The sequence below is a fragment of the Homo sapiens genome, chromosome 17 (assembly GCF_000001405.40).
Source record: "Homo sapiens chromosome 17, GRCh38.p14 Primary Assembly".
NCBI classification, from domain to species: Eukaryota; Metazoa; Chordata; class Mammalia; order Primates; family Hominidae; genus Homo; species Homo sapiens.
Window position 1 is genome coordinate 15855740 of NC_000017.11, and position 18781 is coordinate 15874520.

Here is an 18781-nt window from a genome sequence, read left to right on the forward strand (position 1 = left end):
TACAATGGGTATATTGTGGGATGCTGAGGTTTGGGGTACAATTGATCCCATCATTCGGGTGGTGAGCATAGTATCCAATAGGTAGTTTTTCAACCTTTGCCCCCCTCCCCATTCTACCACTCTCCAATGTCTATTGTTGCCATCTTTTTGTCCTCTAGAACTTTTTTATCTTGCTTGACTGAAACTGTACCCACTGAACAACTCCCCACTTGCCCTCCCCACAACCTCTGGCAGCCACCACTCTACTCTCTGCTTCTCTGAGTTTGACTACTTTAGATTCTTCACTGATACGGTTTCCCTCTGTGTCCCCACCCAAATCTCATCTCGAATTGTAATCTCCATAATCCCCATGTGTCTAGGGAGGGACTTGGTGGGATGTGATGGGGTCCATTTCCCCCATGCTGTTCTTCGGATAGTGAGTGCTCACGAGATCTGATGGTTTTATAAGTGTTTGACAGTTCCTGGTTTTATAAGTGTTTGACAGTTCCTCCTCCACATGCACTCTGTCTTTCTCTGTCCCCGCCTTCCCCCACCTTCCTCCTGCCACCTTGTGAAGAAGGTGCCTATTTCCCTTTCTACCATGATTGTAAGTCTCCTAAAGCCTCCTCAGCCATGTGAAACTGTGAGTCAATTAAACCTCTTTATAAATTCCCAGCCTCAGGGAAGGTCTTTATAGCCGCGTGAAAACTGACTAATAGTGTAAATTTGTAGCAGTAGAGTCAGGTACTGCTATAAAGATAGCCTGAAAATGTGGAAGTGACTTTGGAACTGGGTAACAGGCAGAGGTTAGAACAGTTTGGAGGGCTCAGAACAAGATAGGAAGATGTGGGAAAGTTTGGAACTTGCTAGAGATTTGTTGAATGGTTTTGACCAAAATGCTGATATGATGTGGAAAATGAAGTCCAGGGTGAGGTGGTCTCAGATGGGGATGAGGAACTTATTGGGATCTGGAGCAAAGGTCACTCTTGCTGTCTTTTAGCAAAGAGACTGATGGCATTTTGCCCCTGCCTTAGAGATCTGTGGAACTTTGAACTTGAGAGAAATGATCTGAAATTGGAACTTATGTTTCAAAGGGAATCAGAGCATAAAAGTTTGGAATATTTGCAGCCTGACAGTACAATAGAAATGAAAAACCAACTTTCTGAAGAGATACTCAGACCAGCTGCAGAAATTTACATAACAAGGAGCCGAATGTTAATCACCAAAACAGTGGGAAAAAATGTCCCCAGGACATGTCAGAGATCTTGGTGGCAGCCTGTCCCATCACAGGCCCAGTGACCTAGGAGTTAAAAATGGTTTTGTGGCCTGGGCCCAGGGCCGCCCTGCTCTGTGCAGCCTTGGGACTTGGTGCCCTGTGTCCCAGCTGCTCTAGCTCCAGTGGTGGCCAGAAGGGGCCAATGTACAGCTTGGGCCATTGCTTCAGAGGGTGCAAGCCCCAAGTCTTGGTGGCTTCCATGTGGTGTTGGGCCTGTGGGTACACAGAAGTCAAGAACTGAGGTTTAGGAACCTCTGTCTAGATTTCAGAGGATGTATGGAAATGCCTGGATGACCAGGCAGAAATCTGCTGCAGGGATGGAACCCTCATGGAGATCCCCTGCTAGGGCAGGGCAAAAGAGAAATGTGAGGTTGGTGCCCCCACACAGAACCCCCCTGGGGCACTGCCTAGTGGAGCTGTGAGAAGAGGGACACCATCCTCCAGACCCCAGAATGGTAGATCCACTGACAGTGTGTACCGTGCACCCAGAAAAACCACAGGCACTCAACACCAGCCCGTGAAAGCAGCTAGAAGGGGTGTTGTACCCTGCAAAGCCACAGGGATGGAGCTGCCCAAGACCATAGGAGCCTACCCCTTGGATCAGTGTGACCTGATGTGAGACATGGAGTCAAGGAGATCGTTTCAGAGCTTTAAGATTTGATGACTGCCCCACTGGGTTTTGGACTTGCCTGGGGCCTGTGGCTTCTTTATTTTGGTCAATTTCTCCCATTTGGAACAGGAGCATTTATTCAATGCCTGTACTCCCATTGTATCTTGGAGGTAACTGACTTGTTTTTATAGCAGTGTGAAGTGGACTAATACACTCACATACATGGAATCATGCAACATTTGTCCTTCTGTGACCGGCTTCTTTGACTTAGCATAATGTCTTCAAGGCTCATTTATGTTGTAGCATGAGACAGGATTTCCTTTTTATGGGTGAATATCTCCATTTTATGGGTAATAATATTCCATTGTATATTATGTACCATCTTTTCTTCATCCATTCATCTGGTGGTGGACACTTGGGTTGCATCCACCTCAGCTTTTGTGAATAACACTGCAATGATCATGAGAGTGCAAATATCTCTTTGAGATTCTGTTTTCAATTCTTTGGGATAAATATCTAGAAGTGGCATTGCTGGATCATTTGGTAGTTCTATTGTTATGTTTTTGAGGAACCTCCATACTGTTTTCCGTAATGGCTACACCATTGTACGCTCTCATGAACAGTGCACAAGGGTTTCTCTGCCTCCTCACCAGCACTTGTTTTTTTCTGGGTTTTGATGATGGCCTTCCTAACAGGTGTGAGGTGGCATGTCACTGTGGTTTTGATTTGCATTTCCCTGATGATTAGTGATGTTGAGCATCTTTTCATATACTTGTTGGCCATTCAAAATAGAGTGCTTTTACACACGTCCTTGAATATACAGAGAACATTCCAGGAAAGATATTCACAAAGCTGATTAGTAATGAGCACTCTTGGGAAGGAGAACTGGGGTGCAGGAGTGAAAGGGAGACTTTCTCTTCACTATTTGCCCTTTTTGTTTCTTTTGAGGATTGTGTCTATTGCATATATTACCTATTTGAATAAATGAGTTAATTAAAAACTCCCCCAGTTATTCCACTGTGTTTAAGAACTGTTGGACGCACACACGCGTGCGCACACACACACGCACCTGTGTTGGTGCTGTTCTTGATGTTACAAGCTCACCATTCTGTTGCCCCCCTGGTTTTTACAGAGGCATCTGGCTTAGAGCAGTGTGCAGTCGGCCAGCAAAGGGATGACTCAATGCTTGAACCTTCCTGACCTTCCCCTTACAGGTAAATTATATATAAACATAAAAGACTTTTGACTTACTGCAGTTTCAACCCCAGAATAATGGACGTGTCATGGACGTTAGATCCAGCAGTGCAGCTGACACAAGGAATAAGTGTCTTATCTCCTGCCAGCTGCACCTCTCAGTGTGCTTGTGCTAGGGAGACAGAAACTTTGTTGCTGATTTTTTTAAAGACATAGGGTCTTGCTTTGTTGCCCAGGCTGGTCTTGAACTCCTGGCCTCAAGCAGTCCTCTCACCTAAGCCTCCCAAAGCACTGAGATGTGAACTACCAAGCTTGGCCAAAAAAACCATTCTTTTAATTGCCAAGATGCATACTAAAGTTGAGACCACAACAACTATTGCCCTGAAGTAAATACCTCATTGACAGTACTCCCCACTTAGCCCCCTCCAGGCACCTGTCTGCTTGGATGATTCTATTTACTGTAATAAAGGATCACAGTGACAATTGCTTGCTTCCAGCAATCCCCAGAAGTTGCTTGTCAACATTGAGATCATCAGAAGCTGCAGAAACAGGGATTAATGGGCTGTTTTTGTTGTTCTCTTTAGTGACGTAAATACTGTTTTTCTCTGCTATTTAGAGCTAATTAGCCCCACTCCCAACTTTAGTACCCATAATTGGTGGCTGTGAGCTGTAGAAGGATTGTTTTCTTCCGTGACTGTTTGTGGGTCATGGGCAGCAACTGTGGGCCTGGTCTCTGGCTTGCTATGTAGCTCTAAACAAGGCACTTAGTTCTCTCAGCTCCAGTTTCCCCTATAACTATAAACTAGACAATCTTGAAAGGTTTATCCTGTTCTGTATTTTTATGGTCCTTTACGAAATATCATCTGACCAGGTATCATGGCATGCTCCTATAGTCCTAGCTACTCAGAAGGCTGAGGTGGGAGGATCACTTGAGCCCAGGAGGTTAAGTCCAAATCCAGCCTAGGCAACATAGCGAAACTCCATATCTAAAAAAGAAAAAGAAATATCATCTGGAGGATTCAGTCTATTTCATTATCTGTTTTGATTGTGACTAATATGACAGCAGAAAGAGCCTTGAAAGAATTAAGGGAGGAGACCACCCCTCATATTGTCTTATGCCCAATTTCTGCCTCCAAAGAAAGAAGTAGTAAAAACTAAAAGGCAGAAATGAAATCCACAGACAGCCCGGCACCACACCCTGGGCCTGGTAGTTAAAAGATCGACCCCTGACCTAATCGGTTATTTGCATAAGAAAAGCACTGTGAAGCACTGTCCTGTTCTGTTCCGTTCTAATTACTGGTGTATGCAACCCCCAGTCAGGTACCCCCTGCTTGCTCAATCGATCACGACCCTCTCACGTGGACCCCCTTAGAGTTGTGAGCCCTTAAAAGGGACAGGAATTGCTTACTCAGGGAGCTCGGCTCTTGAGACAGGAGTCTTGCTGATGCTCCCAGACGAATAAACCCCTTCCTTCTTTAATTCAGTGTCTGAGGGGTTTTGTCTGCAGCTCTTATCTGCTACAGAATGATTTCTGCTTTTTTATTGAACCGGGCCCTGTGGCTGGAATGGCCTTTCTCATGTAAAAAAGTTCTTCTTGGTTCCCAGTTTCCTTCTTGCCTGCCGCTGCCTGTGACCTGGTCATCACATTGAGGCATTTTCCTGCCACTCTGTCTCTCTCTCTCTCTCTGATGTCTGTCAATTAAAACATTACCTGGGGGCAGGTAATGTCTTTCCCCAGGTAAGGGCAATTTCATAAGGTGCATGCTGGGTTTAATGCTCTGATGACATCGTCTTGAAATTCACAATAATTTTTGAACAAGGGTTGATTTGCATATAGATCCTATAAAGGAAGTGGTGGTCCTGCCTGGAGAATCCACGTCCCTATTGCATTTTCATTACATCAGAAGCATATATATGTTTATACTTGAGGATAAAATGAGAACTGTGTTGTACTGGAGAATGATGTTTGATGGCAATCAAGAGCCTCTTCTTCAGGAATAGGTGATTATGTGGTCGTTCCCACCGATCTTTGAAAGGGAAGGACCTAGGAACTGAAGCCAGACCCCCACCTCTGCAAGAGTTCCTTGCTGGAGTCACTCAGCAGACCCCCACTCTCTGGACTTTGGGGACATGAGACTGCTGAGCACCTCCACCAGAGGGAAAGTGGAAGTGGCCCCAAGAAAGAGGGAACCACGAAGCAGTTTCAGGTATCATGTCTCAAACAGTAAGAAATCAGAAAAACATAGGGCTGATCAGCTTTGATTGTTCCTTCTGTTTTGTCCTCCTGGACAATTGACTTCGACAAATACTTGCTGCATGAAAATAATTAAGATGCAGTGCCCGTCTTCAGTGAGTTTAAAAGGAGGATGCTGGACAGTAAGTAGTGTGCAAGATTAAATTAAGAGCTGTAAAAAGACAATACTAAATAGGCAAAGTACTTGAGAGTTGTTAGTTGGCATAAGAAATGTAGAGAGAAGTAGAAGTTCAGGGAATGGGGTGGTAATGTGTGTCTGGACTAGACTGGGCTTCCTAAGGCCAGGGACTCTGCCATATATATGCATGGTAGGCTCTCTGTCAGTATTTGTTGGGTGGATGGATAGGTGACTAGGACATTCCAGCTGGAAGGCAGGTTGGAGCCATATTGCAAATCTTCATTGCTAAGGAAGAGGTTTGTGCTTTATTTTGATAAAGCACTGAGGAGCCACCAAGTTTGTGGGATTTTATTCCTGTTTTTGAGTTATGGTACAGTGAGATTGGACCCATATTTTAAGGAGGAGTCATCAGAAAACAGTGGCATGTAAGGATTAGAGAGGCATTTTGAAATCAGTGTTTAAGGAGGACTTTGGCAGGGATGTGAAGGAGGGCTTGGCAGAGGGCAGGACTGCAAGACCAACAGGGTGGTCCCTAAGAGGTGGTCTTTGCTGCCACACCTCTGTCACCTCCTCCCTTTTCAGTGCCCCTGGTCACCCAGGTTACAGCAAACCTCTTTCAACTGTTTCCTCTCTCATGTCTTCCTGCTTCTTCATGTTGGTTAATCTTCTGAAGCACTGAGCACATCCTGCTGCAGACCTTGCAGAAATTTCCCATGACTCTGTCCTCTGCACTCCTCATCCTGATCTTCTAGATGCTCCACTACTTAGCACCACCCCTGCCCACCTGCCAGAATGGCCCAGCCTCTCCCTCCACCTGAACCTGTTTTAGTCCGTGCCTTAGCAATAGTGCACAAGCATATTTGAGTGTAAGTCTTTGTGTATAAGGTTCTAACTTGAATTGTCCTCCTTTTGTCCTTTCACAGTCTAAATACTGTTCTCTTTATTTAAAGGTCAAAACTTTCATGAAGTTATAGCTAACACCTGGCAGCATTGACAGCTCCCTTCTCCCTTTTTTTTTTCTTTTTCTTTTCTTTTCTTTTCTTTTTTTTTTTTTTTTTTTTTTGAGACAGATCCTCACTCTGTCACCAAGGCTGGAGTACAGTGGCGTGATCTGGGCTCACTGCAACCTCTGCCTCCTGGGTCCAAGTGATTCTCATGCCTCAGCCTCCTGAGTAGCTGGGATTATAAAGGCATGCACCATGACACCCAGCTAATTTTTGTATTTTTTTTAGTAGAGACAGGATTTCACCATTTTGGCTAGGCTGGTCTCAAACTCCTGATCTGCCCACTTCAGCCTCCCAAAACGCTGGGATTGCAGGTGTGAGCCTCCATGCCTGGCCAACATCTCCCTTCTTTGACTTTGGTGTCTTACGCTATTTCAGGTGTTTAATTTCTGTACTGCTTTGTGGTGTGGATAACTTCTGCACAATATATGCCTTAATCTCCATTTATGCTGTAATTTAGTGGACAGTAAATGTTCAGCTTACCTTTGGTATCTCTCCCAGCCCCTTGCATTGTGCAACACACATAACATTTCACTCAGTAAAACTTACGAATGAGTATGCTCATTCATATACAATATGAACGTATTGTTTATTTATCAGTATACAAAATCGGCTACTTTTGGAGTAATAGCTTTTTTTTTTTTTTTTGGGAGACAGAGTCTCACTGCAACCTCTGCCTCGGGTTCAAGCAGTTCTCCTGCGTCAGCCTCCTAAGTAGCTAGTAGTAGCTTTTTAATACATATTATCATTACTAATAAGGGTACTATCAAAGGATTTATGAAAGTCTGAATGAATAAGCTAGGACTTATTGTTATACCTTTGGATGTAGCCTATATTTGCACCCAAATAGATGAAGTCATATATTTTAGAGGTTTAATTTAAAGCCCCAGATATTACATATTGTCCTGTTTATGTGCGCGAGATTTAAATAATCAAAAGAGGTTTTAAAAACCAGAATTAGTGCTATTCTAAAATTCTCCTTTTCATTATACCAGAAATGCATACAGGAAGGCTATGGGTATATTAATATGCTTCTGATATTTTATCTTTCATAGTGAAAAGTTAAATTAGTAAAATCAATTTATTTCAATTTTACATTTATCTCATTGAGATAAAGCAATGGCAGGATATCTGGTATTTTTAATATGCCCTTCCAATATACCTTGAAAAATTTTTTTTTATTTTTTAGAGATGGGGGTCTCGCTCTGTTGCCCAGGATGGAGTGCAGTGGTATAATCATAATTCACTACATCCTTGAACTCCTGGCCTCAAGCAGTCCTCCCACCTCAGCCTCCTGAATAGCTGGGACTACAGGTGTGCGCTACCATGCCCAGCTTATTTATTTATTTATTTATTTATTTCAGAGTTGAGGTCTCACTATGTTTCTCAGGCTGGTTTCAAGCTCCTGGGCTCAGGTAATCCTCCTGCCTCAGCTTTCCAAAGTGCTGGGATTACAGGCGTGAGCCACTGTGCTGTGCCCGTCTCTACCTTTTAAATGTTATTTAGATACTGATGTAGTCTTGAAACCTGTAGAATGCTTTTGTATAGATACCCTTAATTCAAATGAGTTTGAATTAAAGTTCTAGCCTGAATTATATTTACACAAATAAAAGACTAGATGGATGAGCAACAGATGGATTTTAAAACAAAATGTAGCAAAACTCTCCCCAGACTCATGACAGTCAGGAGGCACAATTTCATGTTTATTTCACACTGTGAGACATCAAATACATTATTAATGTAACTAATGTGGTTGTTTCTTCAGATTCTGGCTGAATAAACCAGACATTTGCTTTTCTAAAGTAGGTATTTAGTTCTTGTGAATTTGAGGATTCTAAACATTAGCATCTTCTCCTTAACGTGCTCTTCTCTCTAACCAGTGTGGAAAGAAGAAACCCTCTGGTGGCCTTGGCCCGGGAATATGGCGGTTTCAAGTGCAATGCTGTACTGAAATGGTACCAGAAGAAGACAGAAGGTTACATGGTAAGGGACAATGTCAGCCAGCTTCCACCAGCCCTGGGCAGTAGTAGGCCTGTGCCAGTACATGTTCCATGTGTGCCTGTGCTTGGTGGACCAATATGCATGTAATTATCATCTTTCTGTTCTCCTAGACAGAGAGGCATATGCAACGGGAAGCCAGTTTGCACTCCCACCAAACATATGGGTGTATGCAGAGCTGCATCTCCCTAGGGAAGGGGGACCTTTTCCTTTGCTCAAAGTGTTACCGATCATGGGTTCTTAGGCTCTTGATGCAATAGAAATTCTCACCAGGCCAAAAGAGTTTTCCTAGCAAGGCTTTATTGGAGCATATGCCCAGGCACAAGGGAGGAAGCACAGGAGAGGGAGGATTCTCTGGCTGACTCCCTGAAATGAGCTGATAGGGATTTCTTTTATTAGGCAATGTGCGGAAATTGATGTCAAGGTAGGGAATGTGGGCTGGGCAGGGTAGAGAACGTGAGGGGGAGGGGACATGGGTCGGCTTATCTGCTGGCAATGGTTGTCTTGAGTAATGGGCCATCTGGTGCTCTGGTTAGTGGCAGCAAGGCTGTATGAATCAGTTGTTTAGCATTCCTTCCTGAGGTGGGATACTTGCAACCTTGGTTGGATATTTTGGATCTCCTAAGGCCAGTTCCTGTAATCCTTTAAGTAAAAGGCAAGGTTAAACATTATGAGAGCACCGAAGAACAATATAGAATGGCTGTTTTCTTTGCGTGACTGTTAGTGGGTATGGCATCAGTGAGGTAGTGGTGTGGGTTTTGTGATCAGTGGGAATGCATGAAAGAATGCTGTAGTGGGGCCTCCACCCAAGGAGACAGCTTTTGCTAAATTACACTCCCAAAGAAGAGTGCTTTGCCTAATTCATATAAAGGCCCTACATAAATGAGCCTCCAAAACTTCTCCAAATATTTTCTTTCTGTTGCTTTCAGAGTTGTTTGCATTTAGTTTAAAGAGTTTTTGTTTACTAGGACAGTATCTGTTTTCTGTTCAGAAAAGGAATTAATACCTGGTATAAGTTTAAGTTTTTTGTGCGTGTGAAACACTATACACAAAGATAAAAATGCACAAAATATAAACTATAGTGTTTTTTTTGTTGTTGTTGTTTAAGAGACGGAGTCTCATTCTGTTGCCCAGGCTGGAGTGCAGTGGCGTGATCTCGGCTCACTGCAACCTCTGCCTCCCGGGTTCAAGCAATTCTCCTGCCTCGACCTCCGGAGTAGCTGGGATTACAGTCGTGAGCCACCACACCTGGTTAATTTTTGTATTGTTACTAGAGATGGGGTTTCACCGTGTTGGCCAGGCTGGTCTCAAACTCCTGTCCTCAGGTGATCCACCTACCTCAGCCTCCCAAAGTCCTGGGATTACAGGCATGAGCCACCACTCCTGGCCTCAAATGATAGTCTCTTGAACTATGAGGAAGTGAAAAGTCACACAGTCACCACTCGCATCCAGAAGAAGAGCATCGCCAGCTCCCACAGACCTTTCCTACAACTTTCCCATCATAACCCCTCACTACTCCCTAAGATAACCATTGTCCTCAATTATTCTCCTTATGGATTTTCACAAAAGTATGCAGCCCTGAATATTATGTTAGTATTGCTTGCATTTGAATTTTATTATAAATGGAATTTTAAAAACTATGTAATTTTGCATGTATCTTTTTTTTTTTTTGGTTTTAGGGAGCGGAAAGTTTAATAGGCAAGAAGGATGGGAGAAGGCAGAAAATGGAGGCTCCCCTGTACAGAGACAGAGGGAGGGGAGCTTTTTTTTACACAGTATTGAATCAGTGAGATTTATTCATGTTGTCACCTATACTGTAATTTGTTCATTTTCTTCACCATTTAGTAACCCATTGTAGGATTATAGCATTATTTAGTTACCCATTCTATTATTGATAGATCGTTGAGTCAAGTCCAGTTTGGGGCTAAGGTGAATAGCGCTGTTATGTTCTTGTCGATGTCTCTTGAAACACATATGTGCTTGTTCCTGTTGGTTACATCCTTCAGAATGGAATTCCTGGGCCTTAGGGTATGCATACATTCTAGGATAGTACCAAACAGATGCCTGAAATATTTGTATAATTTATGTCTTTTCAGCAATTTATGAGAGGTCAATTTCTGTGCATTTTCATCAACACTTGGTAGCATCAGTCTTTTTACTGGAGGTCATGTGGGTAATGTGTAGTAGTGTCTCATTGAGGTTTTGATTTGCATTTTTCTTTTGGCAGTGGAGATTGAGCACCTTTTCATATGCAAATTGGCCATGTGGATAGTCCCTTTTGGGATGCACCTGCTCAGGTTTTTTGCCCACTTTGTTTGTTTGGTGGTGGGGAGCGGGGGTATTGGCTCTGTAAACAGCATATGAACTTTTGTCCATTTTAAGAATCAGATGTCATTCTCTTCCTTATTGCTTTTAAGAATTCTTTATATATTCTCCATGTAAGTCCTTTGTCAAATACATATATGGCAAATACCTTCTTCCAGTGTGCCTTAAATTTTCTTCTTTTGGCTCTCCCTCTGCCTCTGCCTCTGCCGCTGCCGCTGCCTCTGCCGCTGCCGCTGCCTCTGCCTCTGCCGCTGCCTCTCTTTCCACAGTCTCCCTCTGATGCCGAGCCAAAGCTGGACCCTCTGCCTCTCTTTCCACAGTCTCCCTCTGATGCCGAGCCAAAGCTGGACTGTACTGCTGCCATCTCAGCTCACTGCAACCTCCCTGCCGGATTCTCCTGCCTCAGCCTGCCGAGTGCCTGCGATTGCAGGCGCGCGCCGCCACGCCTGACTGGTTTTCGTATTTTTTTGGTGGAGACGGGGTTTCGATGTGTTGGCCGGGCTGGTCTCCAGCTCCTAACTGCGAGTGATCCGCCAGCCTCGGCCTCCCGAGGTGCCGGGATGGCAGACGGAGTCGCGTTCACTCAGTGCTCAATGGTGCCCAGGCTGGAGTGCAGTGGCGTGATCTCGGCTCGCTACAACCTCCACCTCCCAGCTGCCTGCCTTGGCCCCCCAAAGTGCCGAGATTGCAGCCTCTGCCCGGCCGCCACCCCGTCTGGGAAGTGAGGAGCATCTCTGCCTGGCCGCCCATTGTCTGGGATGTGAGGAGCCTCTCTGCCTGGCTGCCCAGTCTGGAAAGTGAGGAGCATCTCTGCCCGGCCGCCATCCCATCTATGAAGTGAGGAGCGTCTCTGCCAGGCCGCCCATCGTCTGAGATGTGGGGAGCTCCTCTGCTCTGCCGCCCCATCTGGGATGTGAGGAGTGTCTCTGCCCGGCCGCCCCATCTGAGAAGTGAGGAGACCCTCTGCCTGGCAACCGCCCCGTCTGAGAAGTGAGGAGCCCCTCTGCCCGGCGGCCACTCTGTCTGGGAAGTGAGGAGCGTCTCCGCCCGGCAGCCACCCCGTCCGGGAGGGAGGCGGGGGTCAGCCCCCCGCCCGGCCAGCCACCCCGTCGGGAAGGGAGGCGGGGGGGTCAGCCCGCCGCCCAGCCAGCCGCCCCATCCGGGAGGGAGGTGGGGAGGTCAGCCCCCCGCCCGGCCAGCCGCCCCGTCCGGGAGGTGAGGGGCGCCTCTGCCCGGCCGCCCCTACTGGGAAGTGAGGAGCCCCTCTGCCCGGCCAGCCGCCCCGTCCGGGAGGTGAGGGGCGCCTCTGCCCGGCCGCCCCTACTGGGAAGTGAGGAGCCCCTCTGCCCGGCCACCACCCTGTCTGGGAGGTGTACTCAACAGCTCATTGAGAACGGGTCATGATGACAATGGCGGTTTTGTGGAATAGAAAGGGGGGAAAGGTGGGGAAAAGATTGAGAAATCGGATGGTTGCCGTGTCTGTGTAGAAAGAGGTAGACATGGGAGACTTTTCATTTTGTTCTGTACTAAGAAAAATTCTTCTGCCTTGGGATCCTGTTGATCTGTGACCTTACCCCCAATCCTGTGCTCTCTGAAACATGTGCTGTGTCCACTCAGGGTTGAATGGATTAAGGGCGGTGCAAGATGTGCTTTGTTAAACAGATGCTTGAAGGCAGCATGCTCGTTAAGAGTCATCACCACTCCCTAATCTCAAGCACCCAGGGACACAAACACTGCGGAAGGCTGCAGGGTCCTCTGCCTAGGAAAACCAGAGACCTTTGTTCACTTGTTTATCTGTTGACCTTCCCTCCACTATTGTCCTGTGACCCTGCCAAATCCCCCTCTGCGAGAAACACCCAAGAATGATCAATTAAAAAAAAAAAATGTCTTCTTTTGATGAACAAAGTTCTTAATTTTAATTAAGTCTAATTTATCAGTCTTTCCTCTAATGGTTAGTGCTTTTTGTATTCTGTATAAGAAATTGTTTATTCATGGCCGGGTGTGGTGGCTCACGCCTGTAATCCCAGCACTTTGGGAGGCCGAGGCGGGCGGATAACAAGGTCAGGAGATCGAGACCATCCTGGCTAACACAGTGAAACCCCGTTCTCTACTAAAAATACAAAAAAAAAAAAAATAGCTGGGCGTAGTGGCAGGCACCTGTAGTCCCGGCTGCTTGGGAGGCTGAGGCAGGAGAATGGCATGAACCCAGGAGGTGGAGGTTGCAGTGAGCTGAGATCATGCCACTGCACTCCAGCCTGGGCGACAGAGTGAGACTCCATCTCCAAAAAAAAAATACAAAAAAACCCCACCAAATAGCACGTTTTTAAAGGGTATGTTTTGTGGTGTGTGATTTATGTACCAATAAGTTATTTATTTAAAAATAATAAATATAGTTTGAAGGGCTTAAGTAGAGGGATGAGGAAGATGTTGGGAGGGAGTACATCGGGTGGAGTAGGAGCTGCCATTTAAATTATAAATATTATCAAACTATAATTTAAAAAATTTACATGTATTACTTTGTATATTAAAAAATAATTGAAGGCCAGGCACAGTGGCTCATGCCTGCAATCCCAGCACTTTGGGAGCCCGAGGTGGGTGGATCCCCTCAGGTCAGGAGTTCGAGACTAGCCTGGCCAACATGGTGAAAACCCGTCTCTACTAAAAATATAAAAATTAGCCAGGCGTGGTGACGCACAACTGTAATCCCAGCTACTCGGGAGGCTGAGGCACTAGAATTGCTCAAACTCAGGAGGCAGTGGTGGCAGTGAGCCAGAATCATGCCACTGCACTGTAGCCTGGGTGACAGAACGAGACTCCATCTCAAATAATAATAATAATAATAATTATTATTATTATTGAAGCAAAACAATAAAGTAGAAGAGATAGATGCAAGTTATTAGTAATCTAGTTTTTACTTGGGAGGCAGGATTCACAAGTATTTATTTTGTTATCGTCATTCATAATCCAAGCATATTCTTTGTATCAAAGGTTATATTATGACCTATAATTTGGAGGTGGAAAATCTGAAGGAAAGGCCATGAAGAAGTATTGTGGCTAATAATTAAACCAGATGCTTTCTGAGAAAAGATTTAAAAGGGAGAAATAAAACCCATGAGGAGGGTGCTCTCCTGGGATGACAGCGTCAGGAATGGACCTGAGGGGCCTCTTGAGCTGGGCACAATCCACAGTGCTGCTATCCCACTTCACAGCCCTGTGACAATTCACAAGTCAGTTAGTTATTCCTAAACTGTTACTTTTTGAATTAAAATACACACATAAAAGAGTGATAAAAACATTTTTCAGAAAAATGGCATTTTTCCAAGTGGCTTACCTAAAAATGCCCTTAGCCTGAATTGCATATACTGTGTTATAACTCAGAATTTTCTCATTTTGACATGGTCCCTTCTTATTTTATAAAGATAATAAAAGTGATCATTTTATATCATCAAAGCTTTTGCAATTTGAAATAGTAATGATGTGAGTGATACTGTTAAACTAGATTTAAGTCTTGAGTCAGATGAATGGCAAATCCAGCCCACCACATGTTTTTGTAAATAAGTTTCGTAAGCACACAGCTCCACACATTCATTTACATATTCTCTAGAACTGTTTTTTGCTGCAACTGCAGAGCTGAGTAGTTGCAACAGAAATTTTTCAGTTAGATGACCTACCAAACTGAAATTATTTACAATTTGACCCTTTATAGAAAAAATTTACTTAGATGAAGATATATATTAGGTTGGTGTAAAGTAATTGCGTTTTTTCCCATTAACTGCAATTACTTTTGCACCAACCTAATACACATGTTCCTTAGATGAAGATACATGCAAGTATCTCCTGTAGTTCAAATCCTATTTGGGGCCTGGCAGGGTGGCTCACACCAGTAATCCCAGCACTTTGGGAGGCCAAGGCAGACAGATCTCTTGAGCCCAGGAGCTCGAGACCAGGCTGGGCATACCAATAAAGTTAGCTGATTGTGGTGGCACATACCTGTAGTCCCAGCTACTTGGAAGGCTGAGGCAGGAGGATAGCTTGAGCCCAGGAGGCAGAGGTTGCAGTGAGCCAAGATCGCGCTACTGCACTCCATCCTGGATGACAAGAGTGTTATCCAAACTGAATCTTGTTTTAAATCTGGAAAGAACACCCACGTTGCAGGCAAATTGTTTTTCTGTCTCTGAGTTCTCACAGACAAGCACTAAAATCTGCTTAGCCAACAGCAAGCAACCCCTGAAATACCAGCCCACCTGGGGCTCTGTTTCTTGTCTTTTTTGAGAGAGGTCTCTTGAGGGCTACATGCACAATTCAAAAAACATAAATCCTTTGACTTATTTATTGCCGTCAGAGTGGTCCTTTCCCTGACTTCGTTGTGAAGATAGAGCCCCAATAGCAGATGCGCGGCACTGTGGGCTTCCACTCTATTGAGGCCTTTTCTACCTGCTCTCCCTGCTTCTGTGCCGTTTCTGACACAGTGGCTTCTGAAGTGGCACAGGCATTGTGCTACAACCTAACAGTGGAGTTTGTTTGAAAATAAAGACGAAGGGCTCTCCCGTGTTGTGGGAGACACAGTCCTCTCCTGATGGCCATGTTTCTAGTTGGTTTTCTGTCATGAGCCAGTGTGCTTTGGGGCACCCGCTCCCACTCTTAGTGGTGTGTGCACTCCCAGAGGTATGAAACTATGAGGAATAAAAATGGCTTTCTGAACAAAAATATCAAACAGTGTAGAGACCTGTCAGATTGTTCGCACAGCAGATGGGGAGGGACGCGTTCTCCCACTTTAATGTACACAAACACCAGAGAAGTAGCCCCAACAAGTCTAAGCTGGGCCCATCAGCCTCTTCCTCGGGAATTTTGGAAATAAAACTGAGTAAGATCACCTTAAAATACAAAGCCCAGATGCTATTGGCAGGCATGTTTTTGCCTCTGTGCAGAAAATAGTTAACCCAGGAGGCCTGGGATGGCTCTCCTTAGCAAGGCTGCTTGCAAGGCTGGCCCTTGGCTGGAGTCTGAGAACTAGGATTACAGGAGGGTTCACACCATTCCCAGAACTGATGAGAGGGGCTCACGGTTCTGAAACTGTTTGTGCAAACACGTGGTTTGTGCTGAACAGCGGCTTATCTGTGAGGAGTCTGGAATGTGGTATATGCTGGGCAGAAGGGGCCCATGTGACCAGCCCCTGATAAAAACGCTGGATGCAGAGTCCCTAATGAGCTTCCCTCATTAATTAATTAATTAATTCCTTGGGGGAATTAAACGTGCCCGTGACTGCTGGAGAGGACTCTTGGAAGCTCATGCCTCTGGACTTAACGCCCTGCGCCTTTTCCCTTTGCGTATATGGCTTTGTGTCCTTTCACTGTAATAAATTTGTGCATAGCTGTGGCCATGACTTCATGCTGCGTCCTGTAGGTCCTCCCTCTGATCATTGAACATGGGCTTTTTATTGAGCCTTAAAAAGGAGTAAGGCACTGACACAGGCTGCAGTATGAATGTTCGCTGAAGACGTGATGCCAGGTGAAAGAGCTGGGTGCAAAGGCTACATCTTGTTCGAGTCCATTTATAAGAAAAATCCAGAATAGGCAAATCCACAGAAACAGAAAGCAGATGAGTGTTTGCCAGGGGCTGAGGGGAGAGGGGAATAGAGAGTGGGGTGGCTGCTTAGTGGGTACAGTTTTCTATTGTGTGATGAAAATGTTCTGGACTAGTGATGGTCGCACAACATTGGGAATGTACTAAAAGCCACTGAACTATACACTTTAAACTGGTTTAAATATACAGTTTGGTTCCATTGGTCTTTTATACCAGTACCATGCCGTTTTGGTAACTAGTATAATTTGAAGTCCAGTAATATGATGCCTCCAGATTTGTTCTTTTTGGTTAGGATCGCTTTGGCTATTCAGGCTCTTTTTTGGTTCCATATGAATTTTGGGATTGTTTTTTCTAATTCTGTGAAAAATGATGGTATTTGGATGGGAATTTCATTCAGCAGATTGTAGATTGCTTTGGGCAGTATGATCATTTTCACAATGTTGATTCTATGAGCATGGGATGTGTTTCCATTTGTTTGTGTCATCTATAATTTCAGCAGTGTTTTGTGGTTCTTCTTGTACAGATCTTTCACCTCCTTGGTTAAGTATATTCCTAGGTTTTTGTTTTTGTTTTTGTTTTGCAGCTGCTGTAAAAGGGATTGAGTTCTTGATTGATTCTCAGCTTCGTCGTTGTTGGTGTATAGCAGTGCTACTTCTTTGTGTACATTGATTTTGTAACCTGAGACTTGACTGTATTTGTTTATGAAATCTAAGAGTCTCATGGAAGAGTCTTTAGGATTTTCTAGGTATATGATCATATCATCTGCAAATAGAGATAGTATGACTTCCTCTTTTCCAATCCGGATACCCTTTATTTATTTCTCTTGCCTAATTGCTCTGGCTAGGAGTTTCAGAACTGTTGAATAGGATTGGTGAAAGTGGGCATCATTGTCTTGTTCCTGTTCTCATGGGGAATGTGTTCAACTTTTCCCCATTCAGTATTACGCTGGTTGTGGGTTTGTCATATATCCACATATATATTATTTTGAGGCAAGTTCTTTTATGCCTAGTTGTTAAGAGCTTTTATCATAAAGAGATGCTGAACTTTGTTGAATGCTCTTTCCGCATCTATTGAGATGATCATATGGTTTTTGTTTTTAATTCTGTTTATGCGATGTCACATTTATTGATTTATGTATCTATCAACTTATACAAAAAATCAACTCAAGATGTATCAAAGACTTAAATATAAGACTTGAAACCATAAAAATTTCAGAAGACAATTTGGAAAACTCTTCTAGACTTCAGCCTAGGCGAAGAATCCATGACTAAGACCCCAAAAGCAAATGCAACAAAAACAAAAATAAGTAAATGGGACCTAATTAAACTAAAAAGCTCTTTACAGCAAAAGAAATAATAATCAGAGTAAACAGACAACCCACAGAATGGGAGAAAATATTTGCAAACTACAGTCCAACAAAGGACTAGTATCCAGAATCTACAAGGAACTCAAACAAATCAGCAAGTAAAAAACAAGTAATCCTATCAGAAAGTGGGCAAAGGATATGAATAGACATTTCTCAAAAGAAGATATACAAATGGCCAAGAAACATGTGAAAAAAATACTCAACATCGCTAATCATTAGGGAAATGCAAAATAAAACCACAATGAGAGACCACGTTACTCCTGCAAGAATGGCCATTATTAAAAAGTCAAGAAACAATAAATGTTGGCGTGGATGTGGGGAAAAGGGAACGCTTATACACTACTGGTGGTAATGTAAATTAATACAACCTCTTTGGAAAATAGTATGGCTATTCCTTAAAGAACTAGAAATAGATCTACCGTTTAATTCAACAATCCTACTACTGGGTATCTACCCAAAGGAAAAGAAGTCATTATATGGAAAAGACACACATGCATGTTTATAGCAGCACATTCACAGTTGCAAAGATGTGTAACCAATCTAAGTGCCCATTGACTAATGAGTGGATAAAGAAAATGTGACTGTATATATATGTGTATATATATATATATATGTGTGTGTGTATATATATATATGTATATATATGTATACACACACACACATATATACATACACACACACACACACACACACCATGGAATGAATGAAATAATGTCTTTTGCAACAACTTGGATGGAGCTGGAGGCCATTATTCTAAATGAAGTAACACAGGAGTGGAAAATCAAAAATCATATGTTCTCACTCATGAGTGGGAGCTAAGCTATGGGTATGCAAAGGCATACAGAGTGGTATGGTAGACTTTAGAGACTCATAAGGGAAAGGTAGGGAGGGGGATTAATTTTTTTTAATAAAATAAAATTAAAATATATGTATTTTACCTTATTTTTTAAAAGTGTCGTGGCTGGGCACAGTGGCTCACCCCTGTAATCTCAGCACATTAGGAGGCCAAGATGGGAAGATTATTTAAGGCCAGGAGTTTGAAACCAGCCTGGGCAACATCATGAGACCCTGTGT

General features: G+C 43.9%; 1 protein-coding gene across 2 annotated transcripts in view, besides 3 other annotated features; it reads left to right on the forward strand.

The window, feature by feature from the left end:
* The window catches only part of ADORA2B (adenosine A2b receptor), a 125385-nt gene that overhangs the window by 5378 nt on the left and 101226 nt on the right, over positions 1 to 18781 (forward strand). Inside the window, exons 3-4 of one of the 2 annotated variants that reach the window (XM_047435373.1) lie at positions 2998 to 3079; positions 8316 to 8418. The gene's annotated coding sequence lies outside the window, so the exon portion shown is untranslated. Of the gene's footprint in view, positions 1 to 2997; positions 3080 to 5124; positions 5267 to 8315; positions 8419 to 18781 lie in introns of those variants that run through there. The other variant, XM_047435374.1, reaches the window with a different exon arrangement.
* Positions 1051 to 2006: an enhancer, noted in NCBI's record as "H3K27ac-H3K4me1 hESC enhancer chr17:15760104-15761059 (GRCh37/hg19 assembly coordinates)". NCBI's record gives its function as "activates a minimal SCP1, AML or CMV promoter by ChIP-STARR-seq in naive H9 embryonic stem cells {active_cell/tissue: H9 hESC(naive)}" and the evidence as "EXISTENCE:reporter gene assay evidence [ECO:0000049][PMID:30033119]".
* Positions 2403 to 2999: an enhancer, noted in NCBI's record as "H3K27ac hESC enhancer chr17:15761456-15762052 (GRCh37/hg19 assembly coordinates)". NCBI's record gives its function as "activates a minimal SCP1, AML or CMV promoter by ChIP-STARR-seq in naive H9 embryonic stem cells {active_cell/tissue: H9 hESC(naive)}" and the evidence as "EXISTENCE:reporter gene assay evidence [ECO:0000049][PMID:30033119]".
* Positions 3000 to 3596: an enhancer, noted in NCBI's record as "NANOG-H3K27ac hESC enhancer chr17:15762053-15762649 (GRCh37/hg19 assembly coordinates)". NCBI's record gives its function as "activates a minimal SCP1, AML or CMV promoter by ChIP-STARR-seq in naive H9 embryonic stem cells {active_cell/tissue: H9 hESC(naive)}" and the evidence as "EXISTENCE:reporter gene assay evidence [ECO:0000049][PMID:30033119]".